Raw genomic sequence first — 14,032 nt, forward strand, 5'->3', positions numbered from 1 at the left:
GGGCAGCTCTGCTCGACCCAGCCATTAAGTCCAGGGTCTTCCATTTGTTTCCCTTTTATGTTCCAGGGCAGTGGTTTTTCCAAGTGTGGTCCCTGGACTGATAGCATGAACATCATCTTGGAACTTGTCAGAAATGGAAGTTCCCAGGCCCCATGCCAGACCTACTGAATTGGAAACACTAGGGGTGGGACCCAGCTATCTGACCAAGCCTTCCAGGTGAGTCTCAGGCATTATCTTCATCTGTATGGTAAGACTGGAATCTCAGGCACACCTCTGTTCTAGCTCAAGGAAAAGGGAAAGAGAGGAAGTCCAGGTCAATCAATTTTCTTTTAAGCCAGTGAGGTGTAAAGGCAAACACCACTTCTGTTACATCCAGTTGATGACCACTTTGTCATAGCCACACCCAGCCACAAAGTCAGCTGCCAGCTGTAGCCTCTAGCAGATGTCCGTTGCACAGGAAGAAGGGAAGAACTGATCTTGAGGGCACAACTGACCATAATCCCACCAAAGGAAACAGGACATCCTAAGATGGCCGCTGAAATCACTACCCTTGCTGATGGAAACTCACATCTCTGAGCCTTTGGCAAGGGCTTTAATAAATTCTCCTTCTAGAAATGACTTCCTGCAGCCTGCTGTTAATTATCCTGGTTGGAGGAGGACAGAGTGAGGAGAACTTAAAGATAAAATACATGTAAAATGCCTTAGGAACTTTAAAGCACTGTCTAAGTCCAAAGGGTACGACACTTCTTGTTCTGGCGGTGGTGGCTATTTTTATTCTAGAATTTTGAGGTTTGAAAGTCCCATCCCTTCCCTCCTACAGGTTCCACACCAATTGGGAAATAGACACACATGTTGAAGAGGGGCCCTACATCAGCTTTATTGCTGATAAAGTTGGATCTGAGGAAGTGATTTGAACTTGAGGTCAAAATTGATTGTTCAGTGACTTCCCCCAGCCATTGAATGGATTTGCTCATTCACTCAGGGCAAAGATGACCTGTCCTAGTCTCAGAGTCCATTTCCTCCTCTCTAAAATGGGAATAACAATGGCATCTATGGCACTACTGACTTACTCAAGATGCATACCATTCTTTCCAGTAGAGGCTGGAAATTTAAGTACTGTATTTCCCAGTCTCCTTAGCTGTTAGGATTCTGGATGCAAATTAGATTAGATTCTAGACAACAAATGCAATTAGGTTTTGGATTCAAAGTAGATGTCTTTCTGCAAGATTTGGAAAGCAGAAGTGCAGTAAAGATGTTTTTCCCATCCCTTTGGGACATTTCTCTGCTGGCAAGCGGGGTCACAGAGGTAAGGTGCTTCTTCAGGACTGTGCTTCAAGACACAAGACATGTTCTCCAGCCTCCTGACTGCGCTGCCGCTGCCGCTGCCGCTACCGCTGCGTGTCCTCGTAAACTCAGTGGTTCCAGCGCCAGCCTCTGAGGTAGCAGCTCTCCTGGAGAACCAGGTCTGCACTGTTCTGGGTGTCGAGCCTGCAGGACCAGCTGAGAACCTGCTCCTTTGGGCTTTGCAGTGTTTGAAAGCACATAGTATCCCATTTTAAATCCCTTCCTGCTGAAACACCCAGAGTAGATTATTTCCTCTACTGAGGTCTGATGCATTCAATTCTTCATTTACTGTGAAGATTAAATGAGATAATGCATGTGGAGCACTAGCATATCTCCTGGCACCCAGTATGTGTTCAATAAGTGGTAGCTGTGGCTTGTGCTTGTCATGGTAATAAATTGTTTACTTGTGACCTAAGTTATTAAGATCATGTCAGGGTTTTCAGGCAAGCCGCAAACGTCTTTGATCCATATTATGACAAAACCATACCTATTCAGTTTTTTCTTAGGATACTTTTGAAACACAACCAACAAACACATAATGAGTGCAGGCCACCATGCTGGCAAAAGTAATGAATGAGCAATCATGTATTTGGACTTCGGATATGCTAGTCCTTGTGCTAAGCAAGTTAAGACAAGCTTTTGAGATGGGTGTCATCATAGCTATTTTACAGAAAGAGATACAAGCTCAGAGAGGCTAAGCAATTTGCCCAAGGCTGCACAGCTAGGTAGTGGCAGAGCCTGGTCTTGGAGGCCAGGTCTTCTTTCTTCTCATTCCACCACAACAGCCTTTTGGAGTTTTTGCATGGGTTGTTCGTTCTGGTTTTTGGTTTGGTTTTTGGATAAAAATCAAGTGTCATTTTTCAGGGCCTATGTGGCAGGCATCCCAGATTTCCATCTTATGAATGGCCCTGAGGAGCCTGTACATTGCAGCCTCATCTTCCTCTCAGATGGTGGAGACAGAAAGCCTTGAGCAGCACTGTGCTCAATCTGGTGACAGATGGTGGTCAAGGCTAGACGTTCTCCTCTGGGAAGTCTGAGGGACTGGTGAGCCCTTGGAGCAGGCCCAATGCTGGCCTTGGGCCTGGCCTGAGGGGAACCACCGCCATAGAGGAGGCACAGTTCCACGGCTTACATAGGATCAAAAAAACTTTTTATTCTTATTTTCTCGAGATGGAGTCTCACTCCGTCACTCAGGCTAGAGTGCAGTGGCGCGATCTCGGCTGACTGCAAGCTCCGCCTCCCGGGTTCACACCATTCTCCTGCCTCAGCCTCCTGAGTAGCTGGGACTACAGGCACCCGCCACCACGCCCGGCTAATTTTTGTATTTTTAGTAGAGACGGGGTTTCACTGTGTTAGCCAGGATGGTCTCGATCTCCTGATATCATGATCTGCCCACCTCAGCCTCCCAAAGTGCTGGGATTACATACGTGAACCACCACGCCTGGCCAGATCAAAGAACTTTCTAACTTCTCCCTAATAAACACAGGCAGGGTTCTGGAGCAGGGGTCCCCAACCCCCAGGCAATGGACTGGTACTGTTAGGAACAGGGCGCAGGGGGTGAGCAGCGGGTGAGCAAGCAAAGCTTTGTCTCCATCTACAGCCACTCCCCATTGCTCACATTACTGCCTGAGCTCTGCCTCCTGTCAGGTCAGAGGTGGCATTACATTCTCATAGGAGCACAAACCCTATTGTGAACTGTGCATGCAAGGGATCTAGGTTGCCTGCTCCTTATGAGAATCTAATGCCTGGTGATCTGTCACTATCTCCCATCACCCCCAGATGGGACTGTCTAGTTGCAGGAAAACAAGCTCAGGGCTCCCACTGATTCTACATTATAAGTTGTATAACTATTTCATCATATATTACAATGTAATATTAATAGAAATAAAGGGCACAATGAATGTAACATGCTTGAATCATCCCAAAACCATCCCCTCTGTGGCCCATGGGAAAATTTTCTTCCACGAAACTGGTCCCTGGTGCCAAAAACGTTGGGAGCCACTGTTTGGGAGGATAAGTCAGAGCCTGGGTCTAGGAAAGGAAACAATTGATCAACTGATTTGGTTTGGGGCCTTTCTGTTGCTTTCACTGAGGGGTATTAGAAGACTAGGGGTTTCCTGGAAAACCTTTGTTTGGGACCAACCAACTTCTTGGTACAAAATGATCTTTCAAGCTAAGTCAGATCAAGGAGGAGCTGTACAGCCATGAGTAAGTAGGATGTTGGAAGGACAGAAAGGAACAGAGTTTCTGGGTAATCTCCCCAGCGTACGCTTCTGCTGTTTACTGGCCATGTGACCTTGGGCAAGTTACTTAACCTCTCTGAGCCTCAATCTCTTCATCAGTAAAATGGAAATAATAACCTCCTTAGCAAGGTAGAAAATTACATCATACATGTAAAGTGTTTAGCTTAGAACACTCTCAAAATGTGCTAGCAATAAAATTGATGGGTTATGGTTTCAGCCAAGGACCCCACTGGACCAGTGGTTCTCATCCTTGACTGCTCATCAAGGCTACCTTAGGAAGCTTCAAAGGCTACCACAGCCAGGTGCCCACATGGACCAAATTAAATCAGTGACTGCAACGTTAGTCACTGCTGATGACTTAATGAGGCAATCATCCATCTGGATTGAGAAAGAAAGGGTGGCTTTGAAGTCAGACCTCAGTTGAAAGCCCGGTTCTAATGCACAACAAAACAGTAAACATGGGCAAGGTCCCACACCATCTGGCCTTGCCTATCTACCCAATCTCAACTAACACTGTCTCTTCTGTGTTCCAGAGCTTTCTGTTCACTCCTGCAATGCATCTACATCCCCTTTCCTTCTTGCCTCGGTGCAGTTGCACCTGCTGTTTCCTCTGCCTAGCATGCTCTTCCCTTTGCCCTCCACCCAGTGTTGCAGGAAGCTCCTCCTCATTCTTCAGATTCCAGCTGAATTGTTCTTCCTCAAAGGAGCCTTCTCTTAACTCCCTCCTTAAAACTACATCAAATCTCCCTGTGTAGAGATTGCTAGTTTCCTCTCAAATATCAGGTCTTCCCTGGTAATACAAGTTTTATCTGGGCACATGGCTTTATGCAAGTAAAAACTACATTTCCCAGCTGCGCTTGCAGCAGGAAGTAGCCATGTGACCAGAATCAGGCAAAGGAAAAAGTAATATGTGCAGTTTCTGGGTCCTGCCTTAGAAGGAAAGGTGTTTGCCCTTTACTTCCTCTTTCCCTTTTCCCACTGGCTAGACTTAGACCTGACGGTGGTAGTCAGCTTGTTGAGGGTGGCAAAACAATAGAATGAATGTGGCTTGCATGAAGCAGAGCCAGTCAGCCAGGCCTGGGCCACTTATGAGACTATTACGTGAAAAAAGAATAGCATTCTTATTTTTATTATTTCGATCAATGTTATGGCAGCTGAAAAGTTATCCTTGGTAATATGTAGCATATTTTTTTTTGCCATGATAGCATCCTATACTTCCTTATACCCAGCTCATCAAAAATTTATTACTTGCTTTCTATGTGTTAGGATATCTTACACTCTTTAAATCACGTAATTGCTTTTTATACATATTTAATTAACGTTCAACTTCTCCATTAAACTGTGAACTCCTTAAGAGTAGAGACTGTATCTGCTTTATTCACCTTTCTAGCTTTAGCACTTATCACATGTCTGAAATCAAGATGCATTTTTATAACCTGCACTGCCAGGCAGCAGCAAGGACTTTGTCGTCACTTCCCATGTGCACAAACTGAGTCACAGTTGTTCACACTTTGTCACTTCATTTGAGTTATGTCCACTGTTGATAATACATGCCAGAAAATATAAGTGACATGAGGAGAAGTTGCTAATACTCTCAGAACAAAGGAAAGAAATTTCAACTTAAAAGAGTCTGGTGTGACCAATTTATGTATTGTGTTGGGTTAACAGTTAGGATGCTAAACTTCAATTTGTCATAAATTTCTTGCTGTCTTGAAACAGACGCTGAGGAACTTCCAGTAAAATTTGATTTTGATTCAATTGAAGAAAAAAATGAAAGAATTCAGTCAAATTCTTATCAAAATTTGTGGCATGTGTCTGCAACATGGCAAAAAACCTAGAAACCACAGTAGAGCACTCTTTAAGACACACTATGGCACAGATGCTCTTCATGATGCAGAGAATGAGACTGTGTGGAAAAACATGGGCATCTGTGACTCTGATGCAGAAGCTGACTCATGGACTTGTGCTCTGGTAGCCAGGAGAAAGTAGCAAGAAGCCAGCACTCCTGCTGCAGCAACTTAAAAAAAAGACAAATAGCAAAAATCGTATTTAAAAACAATTAGAGAGTTGTGGAAACAAGGAGAAGATAAAATTTCCAGAGTGGAAACAGCCCTCCCTAGGTAAGCTGGTTGGCACCGGGCCTCTTCTTCCCTTTGGGTATTTGGTCATCTGGGAATGGCTGTAGGATTGGGATATGGCCTATGCAGAGACTTTGCTTGGGGAAAGAGAAAGCAAGAGAGCTTTCATTGGTTATTTTGGGGCTAGCACGACAAATTAGAAACTAAAGGACACCAAACATGAGGCTGACTTTCTCACATGGAAAGCTTGATATATTTTAGGGTGATGTGACAGACTGGGAAGCTGGGTTAGATAGAAAGGTAGAGTAAAATCCCATTGTGCTTAGAAGATGAAGTCTTGCTAGAGAGAAGAGTTATATCCCAAATATATGGAAAGTCTCCCCCTGAAGATGTTTGCCATATGTTGAGTCTACGTATGGCAAGAGACTAAGGGCTAAGAGATCCTCTAAAAAGAAAATATTTCATAACTGAGAAGAGAGACAGCTGCCAATCTCTCACCCAAAGTACTATTCAAGGGGATAATGCTTGAGGGACCAGAAAAATTGCAAAGATAATAGGACTTAATAAAATTGCAACCTTCCCCAGTTCAATCTATAATTGAGGTCATCAGTACTTCACCTTATCTTCCAGTAAAAGGAAGGAGGGACTTTAACTGATTAAAGATGTCATCTGGCTGGGTGTGGTGGCTCACACCTCTAATCCCAACACTTTGGGAGGCCCAGATGGGCAGATCACCTGAAGTCAGGAGTTCAACACCAGCCTGGCCAACATGGTGAAACCCCATCTCCACTAAAAATTCAAAAAAGTTAGCTGGGCATGGTGGCAGGTGCCAGTAATCCCAACTACTTGGGAGTCTGAGGCATAAGAATCACTTGAACCTAGGAGGTGGAGGTTGCAGGAAGCCGAGATTGTGCCACTGCACTCCAGCCTGGGGGATAGAGCAAGACCCTGTCTCCCAAAAAAAAAAAAAAAAAAAAAAAAAAAAGGCATCTGAAGCTACTATTGTTCTTGTGTACTTAATGTCCAGCACACAATAAAAAATTAATAGACATACAGAGATGCAGATAAATGTGACCCTAATCAAATGGCAGTGGGTGGGCATGGGGGCAAAAAGTAGACCCACAGATGAGCCAGATGTTAGAGTTAACAGACAAGTACTTAAATAGTTGTAAGTGAGATGTAAAATAAAATGGAGGAAAACATTGACAAAGGGATGAATGAACAGTTTTAACAGATAATCTGTCAAAGGGTCTATAAAAGAGAATCACCCAAGGTCAGGAGTTTGACACCAGACTGGCCAATGTGGTGAAACCCTCTCTACTAAAAATACAAAATTAGCAAGGTGTGGTGACGCGTGCTTGTAATCCCGGCTACTCGAGAGGCTGAGGCAGGAGAATCACTTGAACCCGGGAGGCAGAGATTGCAGTCAGCCAAGATTGCACCATTCCACTCCAGCCTGGGCAAAAAGAGGAAAAGTTTGTCTTTAAAAAAAAAAATAAAATAAAAAAAAGAGAGAGGGAGAGAATCAAAAGGATATTTTAGATTTCAAAATTAAAATACATGAAATTTAAAACTTACTGGATTCAAGAGAATAAGGCAAGCCACAGACTAAGAGAAAATATGTGCAAAACACATATGTGATAAAGGACTGTTATCCAAAATATACAAATAACTCTTAAATTTCAACCATAAGAAAAATTCCAACGAATATACACACCTACTATGTATTCATAAAAATTAGAAAAAGAAAAAATAACAACCCAATTTAAAAATGGGCAAAAGGCTGGGCACGGTGGCTCATGCCTGTAATCCCAGCACTTTGGGAGGCCGAGGCGGGCGGATCATGAGGTCAGGAGATTTAGACCATCCTGGCTAACACGGTGAAACCCCGTCTCTACTAAAAATACAGAAAATTAGCCGGGTGCGGTGGCGGGCGCCTGTAGTCCCAGCTACTCAGGAGGCTGAGACAGGAGAATGGTGTGAACCCGGGAGGCGGAGTTTGCAGTGAGCTGAGATAGTGCCACTGCACTCCAGCCTGGGCAATAGAGCAAGACTCCATCTCAAAAAATAAAAAATAAAGGGGCAAAAATCCTGAATAAACGCCTCATGAAAAAACATATACAGCTGGCAAATAAGCATGTAAAAAGTTGTTCAGCATCACATGTCACTGGGGAATTACAAATTAAAATGACAATGAAATATTCTATATCTCTATTAGAACAACCAAAATGCAAAACACTAGCAACACCAAATCCTGAAGGGATGTGGAAAAACAGGAACTCTCATTCATCAGTGGTGTGAAAGCAAAATAATAATACAGCCACTTCATAAGACAGCTTGGCGGTTTCTTTCTCCTTCTTTCCTTTTTTTTTTTTTTTTTTTTTTGAGACGGAGTTTCACTCTTATTGCCCAGGCTGGTTCAAGCGCTTCTCCTGCCTCAGCCTCCGGAGTAGCTGGGATTACAGGCCTGTGCCATCATGCCGGCTAATTTTGTATTTTTAGTAGAGACAGGGTTTCTCCATGTTGTTTCTCAGTTCACCACAACCTCTGCCTCCTGGGTTCAAGCGATTCTCCTGCCTCAGCCTCCTGAGTAGCTAGGATTACAGGTGCCCACCACCACGCCCAGCTAGTTTTTGTATTTTTGGTAGAGATGGGGTTTCACCATGTTGGCCAGGCAAGTCTCGAACTCCTGATCTCAGGTGATCCACCCGCCTCAGCCTCCCAAACTGCTGGGATTACAGGCATGAGCCACCATGGCCAGCCGTGCAAGACCATCTTTTTCTGAAAGAATTGTCCTTTGCCCATAGCCCCTACATAGCAGGCCACATGACTCTTGCCAGAGCAAAGCCAATGGGGCCAGAGGAGGAGCCCCTACCCAAGAGGTGCCCATCTGGGGGCTGAGTATGTGGGCTGAGTCAAACAAACAAGCTTTGGAGGCCTGGCTTTCACCCCTGCTCTCTCTCTAGCAACCTTTTTATATTAAGACTTTATTTCTTCAATTCCCACACTCTCTCCTAAAGTGATTAAACCTGTAGGCCATGAATAGAAAGTTGGCCATACAACTGGATTGTAACACAGCAATTGGATTTTAGGTACCAGTGCTGTGTTCGTGTAGGAGTGTAATTGGCTTCTCATTATTCTTAAAAGAGTTGGTGGGTACTTTGTGACCAAGTAGCCCACCTCCGAATGCCAGAGAGAGAGACAGAGACAGAGAGAGAGAGAGAGAGAGAGAGAGAGAGAGAGAGAGAGAGAGAGAGAGAGCGAGAGCGAGAGCCAGAGTGTGAGAGCATGAGCCAGAGCATGAGAGCAGGTGGTCATCAGTTAAGCAGCCAACAAGCACTTCCAAGGCCTACTGGGAGCCAGGTGATATGAGGGTACTAAAGGTCCCCCACGGTCCCATGGAAGGAAAGGATGTAGATAGATGAATTCCTATACTTAAATATGGGTGCTGGCTGAATTACAAAGTAAGATGCAAACCCTCTGTGCCTTGTGGAGTCAGAAGAAAGATGCCACAAGCTGGCACAGCCCATGCAGGGCTCATAAAAAAAGGAGCTCACAGGATGGCAAAGAGAAGTAGAATAATGGCCAGCTGACTCTTGTATACTTGAGACAAGACTGGAATGTTTCAATAAAAACTGAAACTGGGAAACAGACACACTGAGTTATACACAACTAGATAATCTGGCTAATGTGCTGGAGTTCACTCACCTTCAGCTTGTGTCTCATCACAGTGTCCCTCCCTCCCAGCTCCCTTTCCAGATGCATGACATTGTGATACCCACCATCAAGGAGGCTGGGGACACAGGGCTCTGTTAAGTCATTCTGTACACTATTCTAGATACTCAAAGTATGTTTTTTTAAAAGACTTAAAATGAGGAGTAAAAATACATTTTCAGACTTTCACCATCTAACATTTTTCTCCATTAACACTGACCTCACATGCATTAAATAACACTTAGAATGCCTTACCTAAAAAGTAACAAATAACTTGACTACTTGCTCTTTTTTTTTTTTTTTTTTTTGAGACGGAGTCTTGCTCTGTCACCCAGGCTGGAGTGCAGTGGCACGATCTCAGCTCACTGCAAGCTCCACCTCCCAGGTTCATGCCATTCTCCTGCCTCAGCCTCCTGAGTAGCTGGGACTACAGGCGCCCGCCACCACACACTAATTTTTTTTGCATTTTTAGTAGAGACAGGGTTTCACTGTGTTAGCCAGCATGGTTTCGATCTCCTGACCTCGTGCCTCCCAAAGTTCTGGGATTACAGGCGTGAGGCACCACGCCTGGCCGCTCATTCTTTTATTTAAACTTTTTTTTTTTTTTCCAGAAAAAGTCTCACTCTGTCATTCAGGCTGGAGGGCAGTTGCATGATCTCAGCTCACTGAAACCTCTACCTCCCAGGTTCAAATGATTGTTATGCCTCAGCCTCCCGAGTAGCTGGGATTACAGACATGTGCCACCAATTGTTTGTATTTTTAGTAGCTAATTTCTTTGTATTTATAGTGGAGACAGGGTTTCACCATGTTGGTCAGGCTGGTCTCGAGCTACTGGCCTCAAGCAATCTGCCTGCCTTGGCATCCCAAAGTGCTGGAATTACAGGCATGAGCCACTGCACCTGGTCCTAAGAATTAATTTTTGCCTTGAATCAAGGATCATGGGAGCACACTAAGCTGTTTTTCAAAAGTAATAGCCAGGAAAGACATACCGTATTCATGGATTGAAAGATTCAACATAGTAAAGATGTTGCATCTGCCCACATTGATCTACAGATTTAATGTAATCCCTATCAAAATCTCAGCAAGGTTTTATGTATACATAGATAAGACTATTTTTAAATTTATATTGAAAAGCCTTAAAACTGCTAAAACAATCTTGAAAACAGAATAAGGCAGGAGAAATCACTCTATCTGACATTAAGTCCTACTACACAGCTACAGGAATTAGAAAGTGTGCTATTGGTGAAGGGCTATGTGCTATTGATGCATGGGTCAAAGGAACAGAATAGAAAACCCAGAAATAGACCCACACAAATATGTTCAACAGATTTTTCAGAAAGGTGAGAGACCAATTCAATGGAGTGAAGATAACCTTCTCAACAAATGAAGCTCGAGCAATCGGGCATCCATAGGTAAAAAAGTGAAGCTTGACCTCACACCTTACCAGAAATTAACTCAGAATGGATCACTGACTGAAATGTAAAACACAAAACTATAAAACTTTTGAGAAGATGATAGCAGAAAACCTTGGGCATTCAGGGCTAGGCAAAGAATTTTTACACTTGACTCATCTGGGAGGCTGGATACAGATGGAGGGTGGGAGCAGGATGTGCAAGGAGATTGGTTTGCTCAAGGCTTGGAGATCTTGCCTTCTCTTTCTTCAGGGCGGTATAGGTGCAATGAAGCATTTGCCCCTTTCTATTTCAAATGGAAAATTATACAACTACATGTCGTCTTCACTGTTTTCCATCTCCAGAACTCTAGGCTCTGCAGTGTGAGAATTCTTGGTCCCCAAGGGGGACACGCTCACCTGGAAACCCAGCAAGGGGCACATTGAATACACCTTATGACTGCTCCCTGGGCACTTTGGGATCCTCGTGTCCAGGAACCAGCAGGTAAGAAAATGGGTGGCCATCTTGTCAGGGGCTGATATGTTTTGGCTGTGTTCCTACCCAAATCTCATCTTGAATTGTAATTCCCATAATCCTCATGTGTCATGGGAGGGACCAGATGGAGATAATTGAATCATAAGGTGGTTTCCCCATCCTGTTCTCATGATAGTTTGTTCTTACAAGATCTGATGGTTTTATAGGGGGCTTCCCCTTTCGCTGGGCACTCACTCATTCTCCTTCCTGCCACCTTGTGAAGAAGGATGTGCTTGCTTCCCCTTCCGCCATGATTGTGAGCTTCCTGAGGCCTCCCCAGCCATGCTGAACTGAGAGTCAATTAAACCTCTTTCCTTTATAAATTACCCAGTCTTGGGTAGTATCCTTGCAGCAACATGAGAACGGACTAATACAGGCGCAATTGACCTGGTCAGCAGGAGGAGACAGGGCTGCTTTCACACAATGAGGGCGGAGAATAATAGTGGGGGAGGTCAGGTGACTCACTTGGGTACCTCTTAGTACTTCTTACCCAACTGTCTGTGAGTGGACAAGCACAAGCAGCCACAACCTGAAAAGGATATGGTTACCAAGGGCTCAGAATCCGCACCCCCCTCCCACCGGGATGAGGATTAGGGTCATGCCATCAGGTAAGCCATTGAGACCAGTAGAAGAGGTAGCAGAGGGCAAGGAAAAATTAGAATGGATAGTGAAGGAAGGAGATGATGAGTGTCAGTTGCAGCCTTGAGACTGGTGGCAGTAACGGGCTGTTTGTTTTACGAACCTCCTTCTTCTAAGCTTGCCTGCAGGGGGTCAATGCAACTTTATAATAGCCATCCAAACTTATTGATCTTGTGTTTATCGCTCCTTCAATATGTTTCGAATGCGAGTCATTGCACCAGTCAACATGCCATCCCAGCTCACTGCTGGTGACAAGTTTAATAGTTGGGCAGCCACCTTGCACTAAAGGCTGCCTGTACACCATCTCCTTACCACTTGGGTATTAAGGGACCCAGTCCTCAAACCCCATCTTAGCTTTCTTTTTTTTTGAGACAGAGTCTCACTCTGTTGTTCATCCTGGACTACAGTGGTGTGATGTCAGCTCATTTCAACCTCCGCCTCCCAGGTTCAAGCAATTCTTGTGCCTCAGCCTCCAAGCGTAGCTGGGATTACAGGCATGCACCACCATGCCTGGCTAGTTTTTGTATTTTTAGTAGAGACAGGGTTTCACCATGTTGGCCAGGCTGGTCTCAAACTCCTGGCCGCAAGCAATCCGCTCTCCTCAGCCTCCCAAAATGCTGGGATTAGAGGTGCAAGCCACTGTGCCCGACCCCCATCTTAGCTTTTTGAGCAGGCTTTCTCAGACCACTTCTGGTGCCAACTACTGTTGAATCCTCTGGGAAGCAGACACCAAGATAGAGTCACAATTGCAAAAGCTTTTTTGGGAAGACTTGTAAAATGAAAATGAAGGAAGCAGATGGAACAGGGAAAGCCTCTGGATCATAACACAGACTGACAAGTTCTCTCTGTAGACCAAAGGGCCACTCTGGAACAGGCTCAAGTTGGAGGAGTCCTGTATTGGGCAGAAATGAATAGGCCCTTGGGTCCCCACCTTGCTTAGTCAGTGGGCACAGGCTTCTCCAAGAAGAGGGCTTGAAACCGGTGGCAAACCCTCAGAGAACAAAAGGGGCTGTCATGAACCATGCTCATCAAAGCTGCACAGCGAGTCCTTTCTAGAAGAGGGATCTGAACCTGCATGCATCTCCACAGCTGCCATCTGAGGCACTTTTTATCCCCACTGGTTGTCAAATGATCCTTTATTGAAATATTTTCCTTTGTGCTTAACAAGCTGAGCATTCCACTGCACCACTGTTGATGTCATGAGGGTGGTGACCATCAACATTGCAGCCCACAGATGGTGCAGTCCCCGGGATCTTTTTAATTGTTCCAGAGAGTTCCCTAACTAAAGATTGGAGCTGCATCTGTCAGGCAATGTTGACATTCTCATCAAATGATATTTTCATTGGGTTTAATGTTTTTCTGTTTCTTTCTGTCTCCTGGAGGTTCCTTGAGGGCTTTGATGATCAGGGCAGAGGCAGAAGGTACTACCTCAATCTATGCCTGCCTGTTCTGAATGGTTTCACTGTAATCCTCAGATCCTTCAAATCACCGGTTGCCCTAACGATGTCATTACCAATGTGTTTTGGAGACAGACACAGGGGTTTGATCTTAGGGGCCAGCACAGATGTGGCACCAACATCATTCCCGGTGCATCTCAGACTTTAATCTCGTTGGGGTCAAACTTAGGCTGTATGGTGGAGGTAGGTGGTGTTGGATGAACCTGGATTCAGGACCACCAAAGAAAGTTGCACATTGGTCTACTCTGAGCTGAAAATTGAAAGGTGGGGCACCTTTTCTCATGGCAGACACAGGCATAGCTAAGCAAGTCCAAATGCACAAGCACAGGCCTAGCCCCTGCTTGCATCACATCTGCTAATGCCCAGCTGTCTGGAGCAAGTGAGATGACCTACCCTAAAGCCAAGTTCAAGGAAGTACACTCTGCCCACCGTGAGGCCCCAGCAAGGGGGGGTATGCAGCAGGGGAGTGAAGAATTGGGACCAATAATTAGATCCACACAGGATAAAGGTCCTTTGGAAACCATTGAGCTCTGGCCGCATTAGTTACTATGGTTACTGTTACTATTATAGGTTACTACTATTATCACCTGTCCAGAAGACCAGGTACCCTAAGCCAAGTTGTGTCACAGACA

At 44.9% G+C, this 14,032-nt stretch overlaps 1 pseudogene; it reads right to left on the reverse strand.

Moving 5' to 3' along the window:
• RPL12P26 (ribosomal protein L12 pseudogene 26) lies at nt 13,058–13,665 on the reverse strand (annotated as a pseudogene).

The sequence above is a fragment of the Homo sapiens genome, chromosome 10 (genome assembly GCF_000001405.40).
Source record: "Homo sapiens chromosome 10, GRCh38.p14 Primary Assembly".
NCBI classification, from domain to species: domain Eukaryota; kingdom Metazoa; phylum Chordata; class Mammalia; order Primates; family Hominidae; genus Homo; species Homo sapiens.